Below are 17908 nucleotides of genomic sequence, written 5' to 3'. Positions count from 1 at the left end.
TCGTGCAGCCTGGGTGACAGAGAGACACACTTTAAACAAATGGACCTGTTAAGAGGGGAGAGTTCATTCGTGATAAGTTTGAACTGTGGACAAATGAAAAAGGCCTCCCAGTATGACTAATAAAATGGTTTTCATGATCTTGGAGAGGTGGCTTAGTGTCATCCACCCCTGTAGTCAAATGAAACATGAAGAATGAGCAAGTTCCCAGGCATCGGGCCCAGCCGGTGCAGTGCAGTGATGGGCTGCAGGGCTGCAGCTGGGAGGGGAGGGTTCTGGAGATTCTAGGAGTAGACATCATGAGTGGGTTCCTGTCATCTGATTTATTACTAATTGATCAAATTAGTAATACATCTGTCAAATTAGTAATAAATCAGATGACAAGAACTGACTCACGATGTACTCCAGCCTGGGCAACAGAGACACAGTTTAAATAAATTCACCTGTTAAGTGGGGAGTAATTAGCAGTATTTTCTGGTTTATCATCTGAAAAAATGCTGAAATTTTTTTAGAGCAAAAAAAAAAAGGTTTTTTTTGATTTGTGTGTTTTTGCCTTAACAGATAGGGTACAATTGAGAGCTGTGAGGATATAAGCTTAATTGCTGTGACACTTTACTTTGAGTTTTCTGTTGCTTAATTGAAAATGGTTTAAAATCCTGCAGATTCTGAGGAAAAGACTAGGAGGAATAGTAATACATACTTCCAAAAACAGTGAACAATTCAAAGGTCATATTCTTGACTTTGAAATGCTATTTGTGATTTTTATATGGTAGAATTTTCTTTCAAAACACTTCTTAAGGTGACATTATAATCTGTTGGTATTTGCAGAACACATAGAAACTGGCAGCTAAAAATTATGCAAAGAGAATGGAAAGAAGGTTAAAATTAACTATAGAGGAATACATAGATAATCAAGATTTAAGGAGAACACATTTCCGTTGGGTCTACTTGCTGCCTGTTTGTACATTTCAGGGTTATTACTACTGACATGTGAATAGGTGGTGTAGCCAAATCTGTAAAGTAGCTGTTGTCAAGCTAGATTGGCTAACTAAGCCTAATGTTAATCAGAGTTGTCTGTCTGTCCCTGGTGTTTAGTACAGAGTTTGATGTGATTGTGGACAGAGAAAGCCAGGTGACCTCTTGAGGATCTATTTTCGTCTCCAAGATTCAGTGAGTTTTCTGCTCTCTATCTCACAAAATAATATATGTAAAATGCTGAGCACAGTGCTGGCTACATAGGAAACTATTACTTAGCGTGGGGAAATAGCTACTTTATTTTGATTTGCAAATGGTTATAAAATAGTATGCTAAGTATTATTCCAGTTATGCAAAATTCAACAAATAGTTATTCAGTTCTGCTAGATGCTGTTGTAGGAACTGGAATATAAGAACTAGGAAGAAAAGAACATTGGATTGCTTTGTGTCTCATTTAATTTTGTATCATAGAATAAATTGGTGCTTCTTGCTGTGATGTCTTCTATGGCTAGAAGATGTTTATTTATTTTCCTTAATTATTTTTGGGAAGCCAGTGAGTGACTGTACAGATATTTGACTGTTGATACCTGAGTGGGTATCCTCTCTGAGAAGCCAGTCAGAATAGCCCTGCCTACCTCCTTCTGTGGATGAAGACAGTGCTTAGGAAGAACTCGTTTTTCCTCCACTCTAGCTCAGGAACAAGGATTGATATTGAAACACATTCACTGAGCTTCCTATGGCACTAATGTGATCGAAGCCCAAACCTGCTTGGAATCCTCCTTTTCTGGAGAGCTTTGTATGGGGGAATTATTGTGGTGTTCCTTTCCTTCTTCAATGCCTTGTCATTTACCATTGTATTGGATCTTTTAGATTTTTATTTTAAGGAGAGGGATGTAGAAATATAGTTTCTGGGCCGGATGCAGTGGCTTATGCCTGTAATCCCAGCACTTGTGGGAGGCCAAGGTGGGTGGATCACTGGAGGTTGAGAGTTCGAGAGCACCCTGGCCGCCTCTACTAAAAATACAAAAATTACCCGGGCATGGTGGTGGGTACCTATAATTCCAGCTACCTCGGGAGGCTGAGGCGGGAGAATCACTTGCACTCAGGAGGCAGAGGATGCAGTGAGCCAAGATTGCACCATTGTACTCCAGCCTGGGAGTCTAAAAAAGAAAAAGAAATATAGTTTCTGGCCCATGTGTGATTGGTCATGTGAGTCAAATTGGTGGATTCCTAAACTGGATTTTGACCCTGGGATCCTTTAGCAATGGATGAGGTTTGAAATTTGAGTTGGCATGGACTGCTGGCCATGGTTGGCAGGACCTATCTTGTCCCCTACTCTTTACTGTCCATTATGTGGTCTAAGGTAAGTCTTTAGGTCTTTGTACCTAAGTTTCTTCCATAACATCTGGTGGGGTTCTCAACCTATTTCCTAACCACTTTACAAGTTAAGAGATCAGCACTTGGAAAATTAGTTGAACAGGAGAAACCCCTCACTGAATAGTCACTGTGAAAGTTTTTATTCCAGCAAGAAAAAAAATTTATGGTGTGATAACCCAGCACTTGAAGTATTAATAAGACCATTTAAAAAATGAATTAATATTTGTACCTATTCATTCCCAAGTCTTTGCTTCCATAGCCCCTCAAATGAGAATGCAAATTACTGACCAACCTTTTGATATTCCTTTCAGGGACACCTGTGTGGTTCTTTGTGAAAATTGCTCCAATTCGAAACGAACAGGATAAAGTGGTTTTATTTCTTTGCACTTTCAGTGACATAACAGCTTTCAAACAGCCAATTGAGGATGATTCATGTAAAGGTTTGTAATTCTGACTTGTACAAATACATTTATGCCTTTTTTGTCTTTATTGTGGCTCTTGTTACAGAGCATTTAAGGTTGTCAAGGCAATCACTTTACAAACCTCAAGATTCTAACTTTAATTTGTATAGAGCAAAGCACTGTGTTATTCTGGAGTGTATCGGGGTAGGAGAAGGAGAGAAAAAACACTTTGTTTAGGAAAGCATTTGAATCAATTTCATACCTTTAATAATTAACCCTTTCTGATATTAGTTAGGCAGAAGAAGACAGTTTGGCAACTAGTATCATCAGAATCTTTTCAAGTTTTCACATAACAAATGTCAGTCATACCAATGAGGTGGTCTATGGCTACATTCATCTGCTTTATATATAAACTTTCTTAGATTTGACTGAATTCTGGCACTTCAAGATTGTTAAAGCGGACTTTAGCACATCTTTGCATCTGTGGTTGATTAAGTCTGTGACCGGTTAATTCATTTGGAACATAACATTAATGAAGCCAGGGTCCTAAGTAACATTTCTATATGGGTCATTTAAACAGTTGTGTGATCACAGATTTTAGCACTCGCCTCAGCCATATCATATGCATGTATTGTTTGCATAACATGGGGGACCCAGGAAAGGAGATGGCTCAGGATTTCTGGAACAACCGTACCCCTGAAGAGGTCCAGCTCATCAGGATATAAAAAAGATGGCATGTTAGTCCCAGAGGTTTGGGATAAGGGGGTGACATAGCACCTCTTTCACATCCCTCGTTCATAGCTCACACTCAAGATAACCAAGAGGCCACAAGCTTTTTCATGATGCAGTGCTACCTGGCTCTGTGGTTGATTTTTCAGCTCTGCTGGAGACCTCTGCTCCTTGTGGTTTTCTGAGATGTAGCAAAGAGATGAGAGTGGAGTCCAGGGGAGAGTTAAACTGAGACATATTATTTTTGGTGTGACAAAATTTTTGTTGTTAAATGAGCATTATAGGAGGAAATAAAAAGCATTATGTGGCTGCTCTCTCAAGGGCTGTGTCCTCTGAGGGTATTTAAAATCCTGGCACATTTAGACACTCACATTTATGGAGTTCAGAGCACAGTACTGTTAATACCAGCGCATCCTATTTTTTAAAACTGTCTGATAGCTCAATAAATCAATTTCAGCCTGCCTTTTGGTTTTAAGACTGCAGCAGATGCAAAGTCTCTCAACCAGTGTTTCAGCCACCTGAAGTCTCCCTTTTCTTACAGATTCATGATTGCCAGATTTCTAGTTTCTAATTTGAAGATTTCTCAGTGCAGTAGCTATTTCATGGCAGTAGGTTCACTCATGATTAAGTACCATCTTGTTACCATATAGAAAGGCCAGTTGCTTTTTTAACCTAATAAACTCATAAGTAATATTTTGAAGGCAATTGAATATTTTGACACCTATTTTTGCAATTTTTCTCTTAAAAACTTAAGTTATGTGATTTGGTTGAATCAAAATGTTTTGTTTTTATTACTACTGGAACATTTGTAGGTGATGTGCTGGTATTATTTAGTAGGAAAATCATACCTAACAGAATGCTCCGTACCTGGCATGTAGGTGCCTGCATTCGATGCTCATGAAACCTGAAGAGGGATAAATCAGAGTGATGTAGTGAGACTTAGGTTTATTTTCCAGGAATAAAATGCTCCACTTCATTTAACCTGCCTCAATGATGCATTTCTTTGCTGATAAGAGTTTTGGTACACACACATACATACTTACAGACACTCATGAGGAGATACACACACATTTACTCTGTTTCTTCTTAGCTGAGGGGACCAGATATTAATTGTTTTTGTCGGTGAAATAAATAGGAGTAACTTGTGGCTTGATTCATAAAAATTTGACACATACACACACACACGTTAGTCCTCGATGTAGGAATCCTGCTAGTAGACCACGCTTAATGTCTCCTGAAAGACATGGCTTTATAAGTCTATCATCTCAAATGCCATGGCAGATATGTTCAAACCTTCCCACTTGCCATGTCATCATGCCCCTGGCCCACTGTGGTTTGGTGGTCTGCTTAGGACAAGTCAAACTTTATATTAGTGTGTTTATGATGGAAGCACATGATAATTCTCTAGGCCTTGTTATTTTAAGTCTATAAACTGCAGTTTTGGCTACAGGGATCAAATCTAGATCCTAGAAAGTATGCTGCCATGTGGCTGGATTGTTCTCCTGGCTTGACATTTCTTCTTGGATGTACTCTCAGCAGCTTGTTTCCAGGAGACCAGCTGGGTTTTCAGTACAGCACCTCAGTTACCATTAAGAGTCGTAAGAGTCTTGCTGACTTAGGCTTGTTTAGAATTCACTTTGGAGATGGAATGGAAATGTGGATAATCTAAAATCTCAGAAAATTCCCAGATAATTGCTCTTTGGCATTGTCCCATGGGATGTTTTCCCACCACCATATTAGCCTTTTAAATCAGTTGTGTTCAAATTGTCCTTAAAATTACTTTGTTTTCTCAGATCATGTAGTACCTAATTTGGGGACTTGGGGCTGGGGTGGGTGCATCCTGATAGTGTGCAAGAAGCCAGTTTGTGCCCCCAGTTTTCCCACAAATCGCCCACAAAGGGTCCAACACATGGGATAATTGACAGTAGCCTATTTCAGGATCTGACACAAAGTAACTTCTCTTCTACCCGGAGCCTCAGGCACAGGGGATGGGTCGTGCAAATGCTTCCAGAGCCCCCTCTGTCATTTGGTGTACCAGTTCTCACCATCCTTTTTATGAGCTAGGTAGGCCTCTGACTTCCTCATCTTCACTTTGCTCTCTGTCTTTTGACAGTAATTCTCTTACTCTCTGACAAATAGTGCCCACAGATGGCATGGAGAAGGGAATGAAAGTCAAGTTAGGTTTGCTGTTTGCTAACAGCTCTGGGGTGTGTGTGTGTGTGTGTGTGTGTGCGTGTGTGTGTGTGTGTGTGTGTGTGTGTGTGTATGCTTAAAGGCTGAATGAGAGAGTAGGTAGAAATTCCTGCCTAAAATGAGAATCTGTGATGCTCCAGTGATTTCATTTGTTCCTTCTCTTGCTTTTTCTTTTGTTATAGATAATTGGGAGTAGGCTGTGGGATATGTTTCTGTTGCGTTCTGTCTTCTGAGCCAGCAGGTTTGGGCAAATGAGTATAGAATTAGAGTGTAAAGCTCAGAATTTTCTCTCTTTATATTGCTCACCAAAGGATGAGTCAATCCTCTTGTTTTCTCTATTATCCCACCAACTAATCTCATATTAAAGGAGCAAATTCATTTTCAAAGATTCACATATTTACTTCTAAATTCAGAGTTAAACTTGAGCCAAATACAGACGACAAAAGGAATGCAAAACTTCAGAGTAGGTTTCTAAGAGCCAGAGATGTAGAATATTGAAGGATGAAGGCTCTGGCAAACTGTTGTAACTGTTGACCCTTCTCCATGTATCTTCATGTTGGACATGGGAGAAATAGTAATAGACACAAGTTGCAGGCCCCACACCCCCTTCAATGTTAATATTTTATGTCTCTGCCCTCAGGTTGGTGGGAAAGTGATGATTTAGTGACTGCTACTTGAGGAAGCCATTCTAGATTTTTGGTTCTTTATACATTGGTAAGGAAAAGATTGTGGGAGGAGACTTGAGGACGCTTAGGCAGTGGTCTGCACTGACTCTCCATGCTGTACCTTGTGTCCACTGTTCTTTGCTGGATGTTTGGATTATGCTATCAGCTCCTCTGAATTTCTGACCCTGTATCTCAGGACAAGGCTGGCCTCTGTCTTTTTTGGTACCCCTGGACTTATTCTCAGAGGAGTTGGAATTCTAACTCATCCCAACACCATCTCTTCTGGCCTAAAAAAGAAAGATTCAGGCTCATTGGTGGCTCAGCTAAGTTGACACCCACCAGCCATTGTGGAGTCAAGACAGGGGAAAAGCCATTTCTCCATTCCTGAGAATGGAGAAAAGACCCAGTAAATAGCTTTTAACTGATTGCTAGATTGTGTACTATGTTCCCCTCCTTTATCTTTTTTCTCTCTATACTCTTCCTCTTCTGCTCCTGCCCACTTCCCCTCTCATTTTCCTGATCATGGTATGGTTTCAATTTTCTCATGGCATCCGCAGCCCTGTTATGCCTAACTTGCTGGTGACATTTGTGATAGAACTGGAAGAATCCTGGGCTAGGGGTTTCTTCATTTGAGCTCAATTCAGTGTTGAACTTCCAAGTGGGATATAATTGGAGGAGTGGGTGCAGAAAAATGCCTGGCAAAAGACAGGCACAGAAATATCCCCTGAAACTGAAGAGAGTTTGTGAAATGGACCGCCTATCCTTTGGGACTTTATATCTATTGGAAACCCAGACAGAAGTAGGGTGATGAGAGAAAAAAAAATATTTGTTCTTTATTTGTCCAATATACCTATTGTATTCACCTGTTGGGTGCCTAGCCTCGTGCTAGGTGCTAGACACAAGGAAACACCTGCGATAGAGCCTCTGAGTCTATTTGGGAGAAGGGATAGACAGGTAAGCAAATAAAACAGTGAAGCACAGTCAATGATCTAATATATGCCTGCCTAAAGCAAGTGGGGGTTCAATACAAGGAGCAGGTAAGTCTGCTGGGGTAGGTCAGTATCCTTCCTTGAAGGACGATGATGAATCATGCGGAAAATGACTGTCTGATTTCCCCTGAACAAGACCATTTTGAGCTAAGTTCAGTTTGGGTTGTCCGCTCCCATTTGGCCTTTTGGACAATAGGAGTTTCACTTTCTCCAGAAGTGATTCTTCTGATGGGTCTGCTATAAGGGACACTGTTGGTCCAAATTGTACATATTATCTTTCACCAAACTGGTTTGCTCTTCCTATGTTTTTAATCTCATTGATTAGCTGTCACCCCAGTCGTCATCCAAACCAGAAACTCAGGAGCCTCCTAGGTTGCTTCTTCTTTTCCTGTGTAGCTATTTTTTTCAGAGTCCTGACTCTGTAGCTGCCCTCAAGTCTCCCCTTGACCCCTGGCCCAGGCCACAGCATTGGTCCAGGCCCACATGGTCTCTTGCCTGTTGTGCTGACATATCTTCTATCTGTCAGTCTTTTTTTTTTTTTTCTAGCCCACTATCCACTTTGTTGTTCTGTTCATTTAAAATGCAAATTGGCATGTGTATCTCCCTCCTCACCAAATTTAAAGTCCTTCAGTGGCTCTCAGTGGGTTTCAGGATGAAGTTCAAATTTCTTAACTTACCTTCTAGGTTTTTACTGTCCAGGTTCTTCTTGGTTTGGCCCCTACCAACCTCTTTAGCATCATCTCAGGACACACCTGGCATCCCCCTCCCACTTATAAACCATGGCCCTTTATCCAGCCATTCAGAATGTCTTGTTCTTCACGGGCATATTACCCTGTTTTATAATTTTCTGCCTTTGTAGGTGCTGTTCCTTCTGTGTGGGATATCTTTCTTTCCTTAAGTCTACCTAAATCTTACTCATTGTTCAAAACTTTGCTCTAGTGCCATCTCCTCCAGGAAACCTGCTTTGACTCCCCAGCCTGGATTAGATATGCATCCTTTTGACAGTCTTGGCCACAGCATTCTGTACTCATCCCTGTCATAGAACTTAGCTCACTATGTCATGATTTCTTAATTTTTCAGTCTTCCCTGCTAGAGTGTGTGCTCTCTGAGGCCAGAATCTGTGTCTTATTCATGTTAGTATCTCTAGTATCTAGTACCATGCCTGGTACATAGTAGTTATGTTTATAGAATTAACACATGAATGAATGAATCTATTTTTTCATCTGGCGAGGCATGATTGCCATTATAAAGTATCTATAGAGCAGGAAGGAAAATATGGGTTTGGGAACTTGGGCGAAAACTTATTTCCTTCTTTCCTGCCCATGCTGGGTAGAAGTGTAATGCAGATTTCACACTGTTCATCCATTTCCTTTTCAACACCCACTCACCTTCCCATGCCCTTGCTCAGCCAGCTGAGAACCCACTCTTTTAAGAGCCCACTCTTGCAAAGAGAATCAGGGCTAGGCCAGAGAGTGAGGGGCTATCCTGAGTCTAGGGAAATGACCAGAGGTCCAGGGATATTTCTTTTTATTCTTTTATGTTATATCAGGTGATGAACCAAGGGGTTTGGGGCACCTGCCCTGCCAGCTCCCTCTCGTCACTGTTCTCACAGTATATAGATCACGCTGGTGGTGGTGGTAGTAGGGTGGGTGCAGAGCCCTTGCTGATGTTTACATACACAACTGACTGAAAAATAAACTCTCTGCTCTTCTCGAAAAGCTTTTTAGAATCCAGTTTCAGCTTTATTTTAAGCTGAAGTAGAGCCTGCCTCTGAAAGTGACTTTTAAAAAAATCTTAGTTCATAGTTCCCATAGCACATTCATTGACACTGGGGGAGATGTCAAAGACCCCTACAGAGTCCATGCTGTGCCCTCCTGTTAACATTAATGGGACCCCCCCACAGTGAAACCACTATGTGTATCTTTTCAAGCCAACCCCAGCAGTTCCACATTTCTGCTTTGTGGCATCAGGGTGGATGAAAGCACTACTGGCTTTTTATTAAAGCCTGGCACTTCTTGAATGAGATAAAAAAGAGCTGATTTGCTATTCTTATTATATTGACAAAAATTTATCCAGTTTATGATTCTCATAGGTTGTGTAGAAAAATAAAATATGGACATTTTTCTGTTTAACTCCACTGTCCTCTGGATTCTATAAGTCTATCTTGGAAAGTTGCTCCAGGGTAAAATTTGGCAGATGAGATTTCTACTGGAAGTTGCTGAATGCTTCTAAACTCTGAAGGATATAAAAAAATAAAATCATCTAGTCCTGCTTTTAGCTGTAATGTAAAAATAGTTGCATGCTCTGTTTATTTGCTGTATACCCCACATCTGGGTTTTTGGAGCTCCTAAAACCCAAGCCTGGTCTTGAGAATACTGACAGGACTTCAAGGGTCTGATGGGGCAACTGCCATGGTCATAACCTTGATACAGATGGGTTGTTGAGTGTTGAAATGGACAGTTGTCTTTGGGGGCCTTTAAAAGGTGTCAAGATCACTCAGACATCTTCGATTCTCAGTAAGGACCTGTCACCAACCATCTTTCTCCCATCCTAAAGCAGACTAAAATCTACCACTGCTTTTCCCCCACCTACCCAGGGGTTGAAATCATTTCTTATTCCTCTGGCCTTGGAGAAGGTAATGCATAGAATGGCCATTTGACTAGCTTGTCCATTTAAAATGCAGAACCAACTGTTTCTGCAAGATCAGATAGCCTGGGGACTGGGAACAGCCTGAGCCAAGTTACCAAGTCACAGAAACATCTCAATTACCCGATATTATCTTCTGAAGAAGGCTTGGGCCAGAGTGAAGAGATGTTCTAGACTCTTTCTCATTGTCCAGGCACTCTGTGTCTTAGTCTCCCTATTTGTAAAATGGTACTAAAACCTGCTGTACCAACTTCACAAACTACGATTAGGATGAAGTGAAAGTGCAGGGGAAAAGCAAGTTGCGACACACAAGGTGCTTTACGGAGCAGTGGGTCTTGCTTGCAGGGATGCAGAGTGACTCATGGGAGCTTAGGAGGGCATTGGAGGTGTCTGTTTCTGACAGTATAACTTGTAATGTGAATGTCTGTGCACCTTTGGGATGTGGTTGACCCTGTCTTTTCACTCTTCCACTTGCTTCAGGCTGGGGGAAGTTTGCTCGGCTGACAAGAGCACTGACAAGCAGCAGGGGTGTCCTGCAGCAGCTGGCTCCAAGCGTGCAAAAAGGCGAGAATGTCCACAAGCACTCCCGCCTGGCAGAGGTAAGGGCAAAGGGTTAGCTCATCTTGAGCCTCACTTTTAGGGGGTGCATGGGCTGAGGCAATGGCACAAAACTAGTGTGCTAATCATGGAGAGGACCTTCAGGACCCCCAGACGCCTGTCTTGGCTGGGCTTACACACCACAGTGTATGATACTGGGTAAGTGACCTAACTCCTTTGAGCTTTACACTTTCCCATGTGCAAAAGCAGGCTGGAAAAGCTCTGTTTCAGCTTGCTTGAGATTAAAAGTGTCAAATCACTTTTATGAGGAGCTAGAAGTGCTTCATGTACATGAAGGAGTTTTTAAACAATTTTGTTATTAGAGCAATTCATACTGTTATAGGCAAAGAAGATACAGGTAGTGAAAAGAAGAAAATAAAAAGTACCTGTAATCACAACAACCACATGGCATTTTACATTTTTTTGGTGTGTGCATTTAACTTGTTTCTTTGTAGATATCCTATTTCCTAAATGCTAAGAAATTCATTTTTCAAATGTTAATGTTTATGAAATTCAGACACATCTAGGAATAGTGTATACATTAAATGTGATTATGTTGCCTTTTCTTCACTTTATATAATCATGAACATTTTTACATCTTAATAAATATACTTAAAATTGTTATTATTTTGATAATCTTTGTAGTTAGGAAAATTTGGCATTCTTCTTTTTGCTGGGGCAAGTAAGAGGCTAGGAAGCCCTGACAAGGTATCTTATTAGGCTTTATGCACCCAACTTGTCATTATCTGCCTTTGATGGTGCCTGGTCTTTATTTTTATTTTATTTTTTATTTTTTAATTTTTTAACTTCTCTTTGTTATACTTTAAGTTCTAGGGTACATGTGCACAAAGTGCAGGCTTATTACATAGGTATACATGTGCCATGTTGGTTTGCTGCATCCATTAACTCATCATTTATGTTAGGTATTTCTCCTAACGCTATCCCTCCCCCGTCCCCCATCCCATGACAGGCCCCGGGGTGTGATGTTACCTGCCCTGTGTCCAAGTGTTCTCATTGTTCAATTCCCAACTATGAGTGAGAACATGTGGTGTTTGGTTTTCTGCCTTGTGATAGTTTGCTCAGAATGATGGTTTCCAGCTGCATCCATGTCCCTGCAAAGGACATGAACTCATCCTTTTTAATGGCTGCATAGTATTCCATGGTGTATATGTGCCACATTTTCTTAATCCAGCCTATCATTGATGGACATTTGGGTCAGTTCCAAGTTCTTTGCTATTGTGAATAGTGCCGTAATAAATGTACGTGTGCATGTGTCTTTATAGTAGCATGATTTATAATCCTTTGGGTATATACCCAGTAATGGGATTGCTGGGTCAAATGGTATTTCTAGTTCTAGATCCTTGAGGAATCACCACACTGTCTTCCACAATGGTTGAGCTAGTTTACAGTCCCACCAACAGTGTAGAAGTGTTCCTATTTCTCCACATCCTCTCTAGCACCTGTTGTTTCCTGACTTTTTAATGATCGCCATTCTAACTGGTGTGAGATGGTATCTCATCGTGGTTTTGATTTGCATTTCTCTAATGACCAGTGATGATGAGCATTTTTTCATGTGTCTGTTGGCTGCATAAATGTCTTCGTTTGAGAAGTGTCTGTTCATATCTTTTGCCCACTTTTTGATGGGGTTGTTTGTTTTTTTCTTGTAAATTTGTTTGAGTTCTTTGTAGATTCTGGATATTAGCCGTTTGTCAGATGGGTAGATTGCAAAAATTTTCTCCCATTTTGTAGGTTGCCTGTTCACTCTGATGGTAGTTTCTTTTGCTGTGCAGAAGCTCTTTAGTTTAATTAAATCTCATTTGTCTATTTTGGCTTTTGTTGCCATTGCTTTTGGTGTTTTAGTCATGAAGTCCTTGCCCATGCCTATGTCCTGAATGGTATTGCCTAGGTTTTCTTCTAGGGTTTTTATGGTTTTAGTTCTCACATTTAAGTCCTTAATCCATCTTGAATTAATGTTTGTATAAGGTGTAAGGAAGGGGTTCAGTTTCAGCTTTCCAATATGGCTAGCCAGTTTTCCCAGCACCATTTATTAAATAGAGAATCCTTTCCCCATTTCTTGTTTTTGTCAGGTTTGTCAAAGATCAGATGGTTGTAGATGTGTGGTGTTACTTCTAAGGCCTCTGTTCTGTTCCATTAGTCTATATATCTGTTTTGGTACCAGTACCACACTGTTTTGGTTACTGTAGCCTTGTAGTATCGTTGGAAGTCAGGTAGCATGATGCCTCCAGCTTTGTTCTTTTTGCTTAGGATTGTCTTGGCAATATGGGCTCTTTTTGGTTCCACATGAACTTTAAAGTAGTTTTTTCCAATTCTGTGAAGAAAGTCATTGGTAGCTTGATGGGGATGGCATTGAATCTATAAATTACTTTGGGCAGTATGGCCATTTTCATGATATTGCTTCTTCCTATCCATGAGGATGGAATGTTCTTCCATTTGTTTGTGTCCTCTTTTATTTCATCGAGCAGTGGTTTGTAGTTCTCCTTGAAGGGGTCCTTCACATCCCTTGTAAGTTGTATTCCTAGGTATTTTATTCTCTTTGAAGCAATTGTGAATGGGAGTTCACTCATGATTTGGCTCTCTGTTTGTCTATTATTGGTGTGTACAAATGCTTGTGATTTTTGCACATTGATTTTGAATCCTGAGACTTTGCTGAAGTTGCTTATCAGCTTAAGGAGATTTTGGGCTGAGACGATGGGGTTTTCTAAATATACAGTCATGTCATCTGCAAACAGGGACAATTTGACTTCCTCTTTTCCTAATTAAATACCTTTTATTTCTTTCTCTTGCCTGATTGCTCTGGCCAGAACTTCCAACACTATGTTGAATAGGAGTGGTGAGAGAGGGCATCTCTGTCTTGTGCCAGTTTTCAAAGGGAATACTTCCAGTTTTTGCCCATTCAGTATGATATTGGCTGTGGGTTTGTCATAAATAGCTCTTATTATTTTGAGATACATTCCATCAGTACCTAGTTTACTGAGAGTTTTTAGCATGAAGGGCTGTTGAATTTTGTTGAAGGCCTTTTCTGCATCTATGGAGATAATCATGTAGTTTTTGTCGTTGGTTCTGTTTATATGATGGATTATGTTTATTGATTTGCATATGTTGAACCAGCCTTGCATCCCAGGGATTAAGCCAACTTGATCATGCTGGATAAACTTTTTGATGTGCTGCTGGATTTGGCTTGCCCGTATTTTACTGAGGATTTTCACATCAATGTTTATTAGGGATATTGGTCTAAAATTCTCTTTTTTTGTTGTGTTTCTGCCAGGCTTTGGTATCAGGATGATGCTGGCCTCGTAAAATGAGTTAGGGAGGATTCCCTCTTTTTCTATTGATTGGAATAGTTTCAGAAGGAATGGTACCAGCTCCTCTTTGTAGCTCTGGTAGAATTTCGCTGTGAATCCATCTGGTCGTGGAGTTTTTTTGGTTGGTAGGCTATTAATTATTGCCTCAATTTCAGATCCTGTTATTGGTCTATTCAGAGATTCCCCTTCTTCCTGGTTTAGTCTTGGGAGGGCATATGTGTCCAGGAATTTATCCATTTCTTCTAGATTTTCTAGTTTATTTGCATAGAGGTGTTTATAGTTTTCTCTGATGGTAGTTTGTATTTCTGTGGGATTGGTGGTGATAACCCCTTTATCATTTTTTTATTGTGTCTATTTGATTCTTCTCTCTTTCCTTCTTTATTAGTCTTGCTAGTGGTCTATCAATTTTGTTGATCTTTTCAAAAAACCAGCTCCTGGATTCATTGATTTTTTGAAGGTTTTTTTTGTGTCTCTATCTCCTTCAGTTCTGCTCTCATCTTAGTTATTTCTTTCTTTCTTTCTTTTTTTTTTTTTTTTTTTTGAGACGGAGTCTCGCTCTGTCACCCAGGCTGGAGTGCAGTGGTGTGATCTCGGCTCACTGTGAGCTCTGCCTCCCGGGTTCACGCCATTCTACTGCCTCAGCCTCCCGAGCAGCTGGGACTATAGGCGCCCACCACCATGCCTGTCTATGATCTTAGTTATTTCTTGCCTTCTGCTAGCTTTTGAATTTGTTTCATCTTGCTTCTTTAGTTCTTTTAATTGTGATGTTAGGATGTCAATTTTAGATCTTTCCTGCTTCCTCTTGTGGGCATTTAGTGCTATAAATTTCCCTCTACATACTGCTTTAAATGTGTCCCAGAGATTCTGGTACGTTGTGTCTTTGTTCTCATTGGTTTCAAAGAACATCTTTATTTCTACCTTCATTTCGTTATGCACCCAGTAGTCATTCAGGAGCAGGTTGTTCAGTTTCCATGTAGTTGAGCGGTTTTGAGTGAGTTTCTTAATCCTGAGTTCTAGTTTGATTGCACTGTGATCTAAGGGACAGATTGTTGTGATTTCTGTTCTTTACATTTGCTGAGGAGTGCTTTACTTCCAACTGTGTGGTCAATTTTGGAATAAGTATGATGTGGTGCTGAGAAGAATGTATATTCTGTTGATTTGGGGTGGAGAGTTCTGTAGATGTCTATTAGGTCTGCTTGGTGCAGAGCTGAGTTCAAGTCCTGAATATCCTTGTTAACCTTCTGTCTCATTGATCTGTCTAATATTGACAGTGGGTTATTAACCTCTCCCATGATTACTGGGTTGGAGTCTAAGTCTCTTTTAAGGTCTCTAAGGACTTGCTTTATGAATCTGGGTGCTCCTGTATTGGGTGAATATATATTTAGAATAGTTAGCTCTTCTTATTGAATTGATCCCTTTACCATTATGTAATGGCCTTCTTTGTCTCTTTTGATGTTTGTTGGTTTAAAGTCTGTTTTTATCAGAGACTAGGATTGCAACCCTGCTTTTTTTTTTTTCTTTTTGCTTTCCATTTGCTTAGTAGATCTTCCTCCATCCCTTTATTTTGAGCCTATATGTGTCTCTGCATGTGAGATGGGTCTCCTGAATATAGCACACTGATGGGGCTTGACTCTTTATCCAGTTTGCCATTTTGTGTCTTTTAATTGGGGCATTTTGCCCATTTACTTTTAAGGTTAATATTGTTATGTGTGAATTTGATCCTGTCATTATGATGTTAGCTGGTTATTTTGTCCGTTAGTTGATGCAGTTTCTTCCTAGCATTTATAGTCTTTACAATTTGGTATGTTTTTGCAGTGGCTGGTAGTGGTTGTTCCTTTTCATGTTTAGTGCTTCCTTCAGGAGCTCTTTTAGGGCAGGCCTGGTGGTGACAAAATCTCTCAGGGTTTGCTTGTCTGTAAAGTATTTTATTTATCCTTTGCTTATGAAGCTTAGTTTGGCTGGATATGAACTTCTGGGTTGAAAATTATTTTCTTTAAGAATGTTGAATATTGGCCCCCACTCTCTTCTGGCTTGTAAGAGTTTCTGCTGAGAGATCCGCTGTTAGTCTGATGGGCTTCCCTTTGTGGGTAACTCGACCTTTCTACCTGGCTGCCCTTAACATTTTTTCCTTCATTTCAACCTTGGTGAATCTGACAATCATGTATCTTGGGGTCGCTGTTCCGAGGAGTGTCTGTGGAGTTCTCCGTATTTCCTGAATTTGAATGTTGGCCTGTCTCGCTAGGTTGGGGAAGTTCTCCTGGATAATATCCTGCAGAGTGTTTTCCAACTTGGTTCCATTCTCCCCATCAGTTTCAGGTACACCAATCAAATGTAGATTTGGTCTTTTCACATAGTGCCATATTTCTTGGAGGCTTTGTTCATTTGTTTTTACTCTTTTTTCTCTAAACTTCTCCTCTCACTTTATTTTATTAATTTGATTTTCAATCACTGATACCCTTTCTTCCACTTGATCGAATTGGCTATTGAAGCTTGTGCATGTGTCGCATAGTTCTTGTGCCATGGTTTTCAGCTCCATCAGGTCATTTAAGGTCTACTCTACACTGTTTATTCTAGGTAGCCATTCATCTAATCTTTTTTCAAGGTTTTAGCTTCCTTGCGATGGGTTCGAACATCCTTCTTTAGCTCAGAGAAGTTTGTTATTACCGACCTTCTGAAGCCTACTTCTGTCAGCTCATCAAAGTCATTCTCCATCCAGCTTTGTTCCATTGCTGGCGAGGAGCTGCGATCCTTTGGAGGAGAAGAGGCTCTCAGGTTTTTGGAATTTTCAGCTTTCCTGATCTGGTTTCTCCTCATCTTTGTGGTTTTATCTACCTTTGGTCTTTGATGTTGGTGGTCTACAGATGGGGTTTTGGTGTGGTTATCCTTTTTGTTGATGTTGATGCTATTCCTTTCTGTTTGTTAGTTTTCCTTCTAACAGTCAGGTCCCTCAGCTGCAGGTCTGTTGGAGTTTGCTGGAGGTCCATTCCAGATCTTGTTTGCCTGGATATCACCAATGGAGGCTGCAGAACAGCAAATATTGCAGAACAGCAAATATTGCTGCCTGATCCTTCCTTTGGAGGCCTCATCCCCAAGGGGCACCCGCCTGTGTGAGGTGTCAGTCGGACCCTACTGGGAGGTGTCTCCAAGTTAGGCTACATGGAGATCAAGGACCCACTTGAGGAGGCAGTCTGTCCATTCTCAGAGGTCAAACACTGTGCTGGGAGAACCACTGCTCTCTTCAGAGCTGTTAGACAGGGATGTTTAAGTCTGCAGAAGTTGTCTGCTGTCTTTTGTTCAGCTATGCCCTGCCCGCAGAGGTGGAGACTACAGAGGCAGTAGGCCTTGCTGAACTGTGGTGGGCTCTGCCCAGTTCAAGCTTCCCCAGCTGCTTTGCTTATCTACTCAAGCCTCAGTAATGGTGGATGCCCCTCCCCCTGCCAGGCTGCTGCCTCGCAGGTCAATCTCAGACTGCTGTGCTCGCAGTAAGCAAGGCTCCATGGGCTTGGGATCGGCTGAGCCAGGTGCGGGATATAATCTCCTGGTGTGCTATTTGCTAATACCATTGGAAAAGCACAGTATTTGGGTGGGAGTATCCCGTTTTTCCAGGTGCTGTCTGTCACAGCTTCCCTTGGCTAGGAAAGGGAAATCCCCCGATCCCTTGCACTTCCTGGGTGAGGCAATGCTCCGCCCTGCTTCGGCTTGCCCTCTGTGGGCTGCACCCACTGTCCAACTAGTCCCAATGAAATGAACCAGGTACCTGAGTTGGAAATGCAGAAATCACCCATCTTCTGCATTGATCACGCTGGGAGCTGCAGACCAGAGCTGTTCCTATTCGGCCATCTTGGATCCGGAATCCTGTTCTTTATTTTTTCAACTACACCTGGGTGGGGCCAGTTAGAAGCATTATACCTTCTTGACTCCAAATCTCCTTCTTACCCAAGGATAACAGGTAAACTGTCCCATTGCCTGTAGATGGCTGGTCAGTCCTTGATCCACGTTTGGATGGTGGGACCCTT

The 17908-nt window shown here is 41.1% G+C and overlaps 1 protein-coding gene across 3 annotated transcripts in view; it reads left to right on the top strand.

The window, feature by feature from the left end:
• Nucleotides 1-17908, top strand: part of KCNH1 (potassium voltage-gated channel subfamily H member 1) — a 455835-nt gene that overhangs the window by 40798 nt on the left and 397129 nt on the right. For all 3 annotated transcript variants that reach the window (XM_047419823.1, NM_002238.4, NM_172362.3), the window contains exons 4-5: nucleotides 2661-2789; nucleotides 10453-10571. In XM_047419823.1, coding sequence (XP_047275779.1) covers nucleotides 2661-2789; nucleotides 10453-10571 — 248 coding nt within the window. The remainder of the gene's footprint in view (nucleotides 1-2660; nucleotides 2790-10452; nucleotides 10572-17908) is intronic.

Source organism: Homo sapiens, chromosome 1, assembly GCF_000001405.40.
Source record: "Homo sapiens chromosome 1, GRCh38.p14 Primary Assembly".
NCBI classification, from domain to species: domain Eukaryota; kingdom Metazoa; phylum Chordata; class Mammalia; order Primates; family Hominidae; genus Homo; species Homo sapiens.
Note: the sequence above shows the minus strand (reverse complement) of the source record. Positions and strands in the feature narration are given on the sequence as shown.